This window comes from Homo sapiens, chromosome 16 (assembly GCF_000001405.40).
Source record: "Homo sapiens chromosome 16, GRCh38.p14 Primary Assembly".
In the NCBI taxonomy this organism is placed as follows: Eukaryota; Metazoa; Chordata; class Mammalia; order Primates; family Hominidae; genus Homo; species Homo sapiens.
This window is the reverse complement of record NC_000016.10, coordinates 33,728,072-33,739,885: the sequence shown is the minus strand read 5'-3', so window position 1 is coordinate 33,739,885 and position 11,814 is coordinate 33,728,072. Positions and strand designations below refer to the sequence as shown.

At 33.5% G+C, this 11,814-nt stretch overlaps 1 long non-coding RNA gene across 1 annotated transcript; it reads left to right on the top strand.

Moving 5' to 3' along the window:
• The first annotated feature begins 2,697 nt into the window (after positions 1 to 2,697).
• LOC107984083 (uncharacterized) lies at positions 2,698 to 8,170 on the top strand. The gene is made up of 4 exons (XR_001752132.1): positions 2,698 to 2,766; positions 5,030 to 5,096; positions 7,634 to 7,693; positions 8,112 to 8,170. It is a non-coding gene; the product is annotated as an uncharacterized LOC107984083 (long non-coding RNA).
• The last annotated feature ends 3,644 nt before the right edge of the window (positions 8,171 to 11,814 follow it).

Here is an 11,814-nt window from a genome sequence, read left to right as displayed (position 1 = left end):
GTTCTACTCTGTGCTAGACACCATATTACATGCTTAATATTTATCATGTCATGTCATCTCCACACAGCTTTACAAACTATTTGTGCTATTATTGCTTTTTTACTAATTAGGGAACTCTGCTTTAAAGAGGTTGAAATATTGGCTCATGATTCCACAGTTAACAGGTAGCCAACCCAAGATTTGGCCATCATCCTGCCTGGCTCTCAAATCACTTCATTTGCCCCTAAGCATAGATGGATACAGACCTATGCAGCAATGTGATCACGGTACTGGTTTAACTCAGATCAATTCAGAAAGTCACATTTTGTTATATATTAACTCTCTTTAGAGTGTTCCTTAGAAGCATGGATACTCCAAAAGTTTGTCCAAGTATTTTGGAAATGGCAGTGGTAACCATATTACATTTTTTTTTAACCATCAAAATTTTAAAGGCAGATATCAGTTACCTGTGTCAACAGGACCCTAAGTTTTCATAAGCAAGACCAGTCCAGTCCTTGAAAAATATTACCTTACTGTGCATGGAGATTATCTAAATATAGACCATGTTATGTTAACTATATTTAGCATATATTAAAAGGATATTTCTAATTCATTTCTCTACTTACTGCCTGCCCAGTTAGGTTTTCTCTTTGAGTACCCTGCCTAGTTCGCTGTAGCTTTTTCTTATTTTCTGGATTCTTCTTTTTTCCTTCTATGACATTTTAGTATTTTCTTGATTTCTTTTCACTTTCTCTACTGCTTTTCTTAGGGTTTAAGATATTCTTTTATAGTTTTCATGTATGGCAGCTAAATATTCCCCATTTTCTTACAGACACAATCAGAGGTGCATAGAATTTCATAATGTTAAGAAATCCTAGAGACTAAACAAAATATCCTCTAGTACTGGAATCCTTGCTTAACATCCTGATGAAGTGGTTGTTCAGGTGGAGAACCTGAAACTTAAAGAGAGAAAATTATTTGGATACAGTAAATCAGAGAAATGAGAATTGCACTCAGGTTTCTTAGTTCAAAACCCAGTCTTCTTTTACATCATTCTGTCATTGAGAGATTTTAGTTTTAGGAAGAGGGAGTGGCTCTAGTGAACACAGTGGAAGAGGATGAGAATGGAATGAGCTGTTGAACCCAATGAAAGTGGATAAGAATGGAATTTGCAGGGGACAGCCAAATTTGAAGAGAAACAAACTCTTAGTTGAATAGAAATGAAGGTTTTAGGAAAAAATCTGAATATTTGGTTTAATGCAAGTTTGATAAAGATAAGGGAATTGAAAACACAGGATGTTGGGAGCTATCAAGAAAGGCATATTAGAATACGGCATTCAAGGAGTTCTGAAGAGGTTGCTGTCTTTTTGTTTGTTTAACTGGAGGAACTGACAAACTTCAAGGTTTTATTGAAAAATGTTAAAAGAATTTGAGCCACTGGAAAGAGTCTCTGGAGCAGATAGGAATGTGGTGTCATCCTCTTCCATCCCAGCTTACAGAGGACTTAGAATCCCTCAAGGACTAGGGAGCTGGAGATTGCTTAAGTAGATAGATCTATGACCCAGAGTGGATGTCTCTTTTTTTCTGACTCTTTTCTCAATTCTCTCATGTACATGTAGGGTAGGGCAAATGTAGGATTGGCCGGCAAAACGGCAATGAAGCTTCATTTGGGTAGTTGGTAACATGCATATGCTTGGGGTGGATGACTGAGACTAACTTACTTTCCAGAAGCAGAGGAATAGAGAGATCCTACTCTCAATTAAGTTAGCCCGTCTTTTGAGGAATCTGGGCTTTCCTAGGCTGAAGATGTAGATTGGAGATTGCCACAGATCCCTGCAGAAGAGGGATCCAGAAGTGGGAGCCCATAGGAAGGAAAATATTTAGATAGTGATGAATGAAATGAAACTACAAGTACTTAGGAGGGAGACTTTTCCAGCAGTCTCTCTCTTGGGTATCTGAGTGTCTATGAAGGTTCTTAAGCTTACTGGTTTTTGTGGATTTGAATAAGGCAGGATCTATATAATGACAATAATTGGATTTTAAAATTTTTAATGTTTTAATCTTCTGTGAAGAATATTCCCAATAACAACCTAACAACATATGCATTTGTACTTTGACTTTTGCACACTCAGCTTTCAAACATTTGCGGTGTTTCAAGGGGCTCCCTGTAGTGTTCTAGGGTGAAGAGAATCAATGGGCCCTCTTTAAGTAGCTTGCATGCTGAAGATCCAAGACTCCCATTTTCCCGTGACACAGATTAGTCTTTGAATCAGAAATAGATAATGCAGAAGAGACAGTGCCTTTTCTACCTTGTTTTAGGTTATCAGGTTTACTCCAGTTCAGTAACAAAAGTTGTGTCAGATATCAACTGGATTTTCAGTTTAGCCTTTAGGGTAGATAATTTATAAGGACAAATTATTGTCTGGCCGTGCCGTTATAATGCCTGTCACTATTTGTTACGGGTTTAAGGGTGAGTCTGCACTGGATATTTCATAGGTTGGGAGAGGTGGAGGCAGAAATAGGTAACTGAAATGTTTTCTAAAATGGAAGCCATATCTTAATTATACCAAGAAATATTATTTAATATGCAGATAACTGAGTTTCCTCAGACTTTGTTTTACCATTTCTTTTGGAGGGGACATGCATGTATAAACTGATGGTTTTTGTTTTCTTTTAAGAAATGAACGTGCTCATTTTTGTTGTATCTTTTTGCTCTGTAGGAGTCGCTACAGACCGGATGCTGTTGCACAGCCTGTGACAGAGGATGAGTTTGCTTTGGAATCTGAGGTAGAGTACTCTCTTGTGAAATTAATTTTCTCACTCTGAATCTCATTTTTTATATTATTTTCTTCTAAAACTTAGCAGTTGTCTACCTATCATTGTTTTATGTTAGTATTACAACTTTTATTAGAGATAACCATTTTAAAGAAATGGGAGGGGTTAATTTTAATTTTTTTTTACTTTGGCAAATAATAAATAGTTGATAAATTCTTTGAGAGGTGTGATCTGAAAAAAAAAATTGCTGGAAAATACACAGTGACAGAAAAATGGTGTTCGGGAACGCTTTCCCACAATAGAGGAGATACAAATTTTGGTCTAGGCTTATTTGAGTGTTTTTACTTTGAGTTGTATATCATATGAGTGTGACTAATAATACCTCTGTTTAAATGAATCTTTAATACATCAGATGACTTATCATAGAAATCATGGAATCACTCTGTTACACATAGCATGTGGTTTTTTTTATTTCTTGTACACATATTTTGATATCATACACTATTTTTGCAGAGAGCTATTTCCTTATTTTTATTCGTGGCTCTATAATTAGACTAAAATAATATTAGAAATTGTGGAAATTTAACTAGACATGGTATCATGTCCATGTAGTCCCACCTATTCAAGAGATGAAGCCAGGAGAATTTCTTGAGCCCAGGAGTTTAAGACCAAGCTTGGCAATATAACAAGAGCTTATCTCTAATTTCAAAAAGTCGTGGAAGTTTAGAAATTTAAATTCTGTTCTCAAATCTGTATTAGAGAAGGTTTACACAGTGTTTTCCAAGCCTTTTTTATTTAGAGTATACTTTAAACTCTTTATTTAATTGAAAAATATGCATTTTGTTTAAAATAACCTGTTTGATAAACAGATACTCTTCATATTCCTATGGTCAGACTTTAATTTCACAAGGTTTTTGCATTTTAATTAAAAGGAATCCACTCAGGGTCTTTGTATCTCATTCTAAATTTCAAATTTCAGAGGCTTTTGTGCTTAGTTATTGAAAAAATAATTGTAAAGCTCCTGCATTACTACGAGCCACTTGAAACTAGAAAACCTATTTGTATGTATCCTGGAATACACAGAATAAGGTCTTGCATGTAAGAAGCATTTTAGTAGTTTTTCATGTAAATCAACAAACAAGGAAATGGGTTTTTTTTATAATGGAATGTTACAGGTAACATAATATGCATGACATATCTAATAATTCTAGTTCAAAACCCAGTCTTCTTTTACATCATTCTGTCATTGAGTGATTTTAGTTTTAGAAAGAGGGAGTGGCTCTAGTGAACACAGTGGAAAAGGATGAGAATGGAATAATGAGCTGTTGAACCCAATGAAAGTGGATAAGAATGGAATTTGCAGAGGACAGACAAATTTGAAGATGTAGATTGGAGATTGCCATGGATCCCTGCAGAAGAGGGATCCAGAAGGGGGAGCCCATAGGAAGGAAGATATTTAGATAGTGATGAATGAAATTAAGCTGTAAGTACTCAGGAGGGAGACTTTTCCAGCAGTCTGTCTCTTGAGTATCTGAGTGTCTATGAAGGTTCTTAAGCTTGCTGGTTTTTGTAGACCTGAATAAGGCAGGATCTATATAATGACATTAATTGGATTTTATAATTTTTAATGTTTTAATCTTCTGTGAAGAATATTCCCAAAGTACATTTGTACTTTGACTTTTTTTACACTCAGCTTTCAAACATTTGCAGTGTTTCAGGGGGCTCCCTGTAGAGTTCTAGAGTAAAGAGAATCGATGGGCAATCTAAGTAGCTTACATGCTGAAGATCCAAGACTCCCCTTTTCCCGTGACACAGATTAGTCTTTGAATCAGAAATAGATAATGCAGAAGAGACAGTGCCTTTTCTACCTTGTTTTAGGTTATCAGGTTTACTGCAGTTCAGTAACAAAAGTTGTGTCAGATATTAATTGGATTTTCAGTTTAGTCTTTAGGGTAGATAATTTATAAAGACAAATTATTGTCTGGCCATGCTGTTATAATGCCTGTCACTATTTGTTACGGGTTTAAGGGTGAGTCTGCACTGGATATTTCATAGGTTGGGAGAGGTGGAGGCAGAAATAGGTAACTGAAATGTTTTCTAATACAGAAGCCATATCTTAATTATACCAAGAAATATTATTTAATGTAAGGATAACTGACCTTCCTCAGACTTTGTTTTACCAATTTTTTTTGGAGGGGACATGCATGTATAGACTGATGGTTTTTGTTTTAAGAAATGAACGTGCTCATTTTTGTCATATCTTTTTGTTCTGTAGGTGTCGCTACCTACTGGATAATGTTGCACAGCCTGTGACAAAGGATAAGTTTGCTTTGGAATCTGAGGTAGAGTACTCTCTTGTGAAATTAATTTTCTCACTCTGAATCTCATTTTTTGTATTATTTTCTTCTAAAACTTAGCAATTGTCTACCTATCATTGTTTTATGTTAGTATTAAAACTTTTATTAGAGATAACTATTTTAAAGAAATAGGAGGGGTTAATTTTAATTTTTTTACTTTGTAAATAAGAAATAGTTGATAAATACTTTGAGAGGTGTGATCTGAAAAAAAATTGTTGGAAAATACATAGTGACAGAAAAATGTTGTTTGGGAACGCTTTCCCACAACAGAGGAGATACAAATTTTGGTCTAGGCTTATCTGAGTAAGTGTTTTTACTTTGAGTTGTATATCATATGAGTATGACTAATAATACCTCTGTTTAAATGAATGTTTGTTACATCAGATGATTTATTATGGGAATCATGTGTACACATAGCATATAGTTTCTTTTTATTTCTTGTACACCTATTTTAACATCATACAGTATTTTTGCAGAGAGCTATTTCTTTATTTTTATTCTTGGTTCTATATAATTAGACTAAAATAATATTAGAAATTGTGGAAATTTAACTAGACATGGTACCATGTGCCTGTAGTCCCACCTATTCAAGAGATCAAGCCAGGAGAATTTCTTGATCCCAGGAGTTTAAGACCAAGCTTGGCAATATAGCAAGAGCTTATCTCTAATTTAAAAAAGTTGTGGAATATTAGAAATTTAAATTCTGTTCTCACACCTGTATTAGAGAGGGTTTACACTGTGTTTTCCAAGTCTTTTTTATTAAGAGTATACTGTAAAATCTTTATCTAATCTAAGAATATGCATTTTGTTTAAAATAACAACCTGTTTGATAAGCAGAGACTCTTCATATTTCTGTGGTCAGACTTTAATTTCACAAGGTTTTTGCATTGTAATTAAAAAAAAATCCACTCAGGGTCTTTCTATCTCATTCTAAATTTCAAATTTCAGAGGCTTTTGTGCTTAGTTATTGAAAAAATAATTGTAAAGCTCCTGCATTACTATGAGCCACTTGAAGCTAGAAAACCTATTTGTATGTATCTTGAGTACCCAGAATAAGGTCTTGCATGTAAGAAACATTTTAATAGTTTTTAATGTGAATCAACAAACAGGGAAATGGGCATTTTTTTAATGGAATGTTACAGGTAACATAATATGCATAAGATATCTAATAATTAAATCTATTAAATGTCTTGAATGTTCTGAATTTATCTTTTCTTCTAATGTTGAGAATCTATAAGTTGAGGTGAGTTATGCTGAGAAAATATGTCATAGAATAAAATGAAAATTGGAAAAGATGGAAAGGAAATAGGAAAGGTGGATACAGCATGTCTTCTAATATCTTCCAACTGGAAGCTTAGATTAGGATTTTAGATTAAATTTTCAAAGCCCCAACCATGTTCTATTAAATACATATTTTTCAGGACATACATTACTCTTTTGAATTCTGAATAAAAATTCTTTCTCCAGGTGTTAAGTTGCTGGAATTCTATTGTGTTTTTTTTTCCTCTCTCTGTCTCTCTCTCTCTCTCTCTCTCTCTCTCTCTCTCTCTTTGTAGTAAGAATGTTTCAGCTTTCAGGTGAATGATCATGTTTAACTCTTGGGATGTGTTATTTTATAGTAAACAAACTAAACTTTTTATTACATAAGTATTTACACAAAACAAATTGTTGAGTAAATGCTAACCAGCATTATTAGGCATATATTATGAACACAAGCTTTTCTTTTAAGCTCATATTTGATTGACTGGTCATGTCTCTTTTTTTGTTTGTTTCTCCCTCCTTCCCCTTTGTTTAAGAATGATTTACCTCAGTCTAACTTCTTCCTTGCAGACCACATGTCTTTAGTGTCTATTCTTTTGTTTCACCTCTGTTTCTGTTGTCAGGATACTTAGTTACAGCTTTCTATTTAGTAGCTATGTGTGGCCTTCATTCGTGAATCATTGCTCCATAAGGTGGATGGTTGCTTTGTTCTGTCTTTTTTGGAAGGAGCTGAAGTTATACAATAATTTGCTTTTAGCTTTTGACACACAGAATAGAAGCAACTTATACCGATTGCGATGATAGCCCATTTAAATATAGTACTACTAAAAACTACATTCTCACATTTTTTCCCACAGAAAGTAATTCACACAAATATATATCATGCATAAATATTTTGAAAACTAAAGTGATTAATTGACTTTTTATTGTTAGTTTTGTTCAGTATTACTCTAAATTACATATGAGTAAATTTTTGTCCCAGTTTGTTGTGGTTAATAAAAGAAACTGATAGATATCATAGTATTTGTATAATAATCAACTGAGGTTGAAAGGAGTAACATTTTGAGAATATCTGTATCACCAATCATAATCATCATCTCATGTGAATATGTAAATAAGTAAATGGCAGACTTGAGGTTTGGATCTACATATGAGTGACTTCAAAGTCTATCCTTTTTGTGTTAGATCGTGTAGTAATGGTGGCAATTATCATTATTTTAACTTGCTGCATGTTATTCTTAAACCTATTGTCTTTCTTCTAGAGCATTTCAGAACCATACTTTAAGAACAGAGGACTATTTCTCAACAATCTGCAGAAAAGTGTAAGCTATTTGAAACCTGACTATTGTATTATCTACTGATTCTTTTTTTTTTCTTTTTCTTTCTTATTTTTTGTAGACAGAGTGTTACTCACTGTTGCCCAGGCTGGAGTGCAGTGGCATGATCTTGGCTCACTGCAACTTCCACCTCCTGGGTTCAAGTGATTCTCCTGCCTCAGCCTCCCGAGTAGCTGGGATTACAGGTGTGCACCACCACACCTGGCTATTTTTGTACTTTTGGTAGAGATGGAATTTCACCATGTTGGCCAGGCTGGTCTTGAACACCTGACCTCGTATGATCTGCCTGCGTCGGCCCCCCAAAGTGCTGGGATCAAAAGTTGTGAGCCCCCACACCCGGTTCTTATTTATTGATTCTTAATTACATGCATTTCATCTACTCTTGACTTTGTTTTTACTGTAGTAGATGCTGCATGTGGCATTGAAAAAACAGAAAATGAAACCTTGTTTGAAGACCAAAATGTTGATAAGGTAAATGAAGATATGGTTAAAAGCCAACATAGAATAATCAGAGTCCAGTCCTGTTCACCAACTCACTCTTATCTGTTAATGATCTCTAGTTTTACAATGGTAAATTGTTTTATTTGGAAAATATTTTTCCCATGCTTTATTCACTTGCCATCTCCCTGTCTTTATAACGATGACAAGGATCCTATAAAGGAATGGAAGTTCTCCAGGTAATAATAGAAAAGAAGTGTAACAACAAGGGAAATATACGCATGGGACTAGGATTCCTAAAAGGTCGTGGGAGTAAATGATTGTTAGGTTTGCCATTAGGGAAGGAAAGAAGTAGAAAGCAACCTGAAAGAACAGCTCCACAAATACAAAGGTGAGGAGGGGAAAGAAGTAAGAATACAGAGTTGAATAAGAGTGTCAAGATGACAAAGATTAGTATAAAACACCTCAAAAACGGTGAATTTAAATGACAGTAGAATGTCTCCATATCATATTATAGAATTATTTTAAATATAGATTAGGAAAAGAAAGCCAAGTAATTAAAAAAATGCTCAGATTCTTCTGAGTGACTTACGGGTGATTTTAATAAAGGATTGGAAGAAAATTTATGGGTGACTATATTTAACATTCTGTTTTACATTTAAAAACAGCCAGGAGAGAATAACTTGAATATTTCTAGTTTAAATAAAACATACATATTTAAGGTAATGTGTCTCTCTGTTACCCTCATTAGATTATATAGATGGATCAAATCATCACACGTACACTGAAAATATATGCATCTATTTATTAATTTAAAAATTCTAAATGGAAAGAAAATTTAATCCTCACTTTTTAAAATTTCAGTAAAGTGGTGTCTCATATTTTATCTAGTGAATGCCGTGTTCATAGATAATGCAAAGTAAAATGTGTTTTAGGCTATATCAGATTTTGAATGAATCATTAATTTTTGACTCTTGTTAAAAGTTTTTTAAAGTAATATTTGGTATATTCCTAAGTTGCTTAACTAATTTATTTCACTTTTACATAATCTTGGCAGCTGTTTTAGCCTTTTTTTGATAATAAGAGAGAAAATAAATAAGTAATTAAATAATAAAAAATAATAAAAATTAATTAATACATAAATTAATAAAAATTAAAATTTCTGGTTAATTTTTTTTTTTTTGAGAGGGAGTCTCGCTCTGTCGCCCAGGCTGGAGGGCGGTGGATGATCTCGGCTCACTGCAAGGTCCACCTCCCGGGTTCATGCCATTCTCCTGCCTCAGCCTCACGAGTAGCTGGGACTATAGGCACCCGCCATCACGCCCGGCTAATTTTTTAAAATATTTTTAGTAGAGACGGGGTTTCACTGTGTTAGCCAGGATGGTCTCGATCTCCTGACCTCGTGATCTGCCTGCCTCGGCCTCCCAAAGTGCTGGGATTACAGGTGTGAGCCACCACGCCTAGCCATTTCTGGTTAATTTTAAATGAGGTTTCTAATTTATATTCATTGAATGAGAAAAAATATATTTTTAACCTGGAACCCTCTTAAAGAAATAAATTATTACTTATTTCTGGAGCTAGTCTGACTTACCTTGTGCTGATAACGTCTGTACTTAAGAACATACATGTGATGAATGCAATCAACACTCATGATTGTTTTCTAAACAAAGTACCTATTTTGATAGAATTGTAAGGAAAGAAATATTGCCAACAGAGTACACAGAATTATCTCTGGAATATTACTTTTTACTTTTAAAACTATCTCCTACAGTTGGGACATTTTGTATTATTCTCTGGAAGCATTATTAACTTTAGTATTTATAGTTGTTATACCTTGCATATAAATTGATTCAGCTCTAAAACTCAGGAATCCTTTTGACTTGATGTTTAAAATAAATTTCTTCTCTCTTCATGTCAGTATTGGGTCCTGATTGACAGGCATAGTGTATTTGAAGACATGTAAATCTTCAGCTTGCATAGTCATATGATTATTTTACTTGATCCTTTCTCTGATTTTTAACTATTATCTTTATGGCATAAGTAGGCAATTAGAGCTATTAGTATATAATTTACAGGAGAATCAGAAAACCATATGAACTTTAAAATAGGTTTTACATTTCTCTCTTATATTTTAGTAGCACTTAAAATGCCTTATAATTCTATAATAGAATAAACATTTGTGCAAGTTAAACTTTTAAGATGATTTTTTAAAAATGAGCTTTCTTAGGATACCTTGAATTACTGGTTTAGATAACTGTTTTCATTAAGTTCAAAAATGCAGATGACCATAATATTCCAGAAATAAATATCTGCATACATTAAGAAAATATATTTTATATCTTTTAATCCAGTATAGAAATATATAATTGAAATTTTGAATCCCATGTTTTGTTTTCTTTTTATTTTCAAAACTTCAGGGTTCTTCATAGGTTTAAATTATTGAATCCTACCAGTTTAGTATATTTTACAAATGTTGACCTTCTCAACAATGTATGGTTTTTTTTTGAGTAAGGTCATCTATTTCTACTCCAAATGTATTTACCCAGATCAGTCTTCTAAGTCCCCTTTGTGCCTCCAGTTTAATAGGTCTCAAACTGCCTTCCAGATTCTTTCCTGACTCTTTGTAATCTACTCTGTCATCTGGCTTCCCAATTTTAGTAAATAACACCAAGAAAGTAGCAATGAAACATTGAAGCAGAAAAACTGCACTCCAGGTTTCCCTCACATTGCCAATCCAGTGACTCACCAAATTTTGTATTTTCTACCTTTAACCATTTCTCATATCTTATTACTGTAATACACTGTCTGCCCTATACTTTCGGAATGTTTGTTTTTGTTTCTCTCTTCTCCCCATGTTTATCTATCTATATATGTCTTTCAGGGTGACCTTTCTTAAACATGTTTACTTTTATCTAACTCATCTGCTTATGGCTGGACCCTCATTACACGAAAGAAACATTTACATTCTAGCATAACACTTATTTTGCGGTTTGGCCTGTTTCTCCCATTTTATCTCTCCACTCCACTTTCTCGGTCTGTGTCCAAGTTTTACCACGTTATTGTGGTATTTCTTATTGGCTATGCTGTTTCATGCTTTATTTTTTTGCACATGCTGCCCTCACTAGAAACACTTCACACTCTTACTCTTCACTTGTCTATTTTAAAAATAGAACCCTGAATTTGCAGTGTCTCAGAAGCTTCCCAAGTAGAAATAAGTGTTATTACCTTTGTGCTATCACTGTTTTTATTGACTTGAATTGTAGAAATAATGAATTGTGTCTTTCTGCTTTTGTTTGTTTTTATAAATTTCTTTTTTCACTTGATAAATAAATAAAATTAGTATTTTATTCATATTATCAGATTTTCCAGTATAGACCTTATGAATTTATAGACACAGAAAATGTTTCTTGAATTACTGACTGAGTAGTAAATATAACATTTTCTGAAGATTTCTTTTTTTTTTTTTAAATAGGAATGAAAAGCACTACCAGCAACTGGACAAAAAGCAAATGGTATTGGTATTATAAAAAGTGCTTCATGAGAGCAATCAAATAATGATAATGTTATTTTTTGTGTACAAAAAAACAAAGGTGGTGAGGCAGTGAATATAGCTGAATAATTTTCTATGCTTTAATAATATAATTTTTGAAAATAAATATAACTAATTT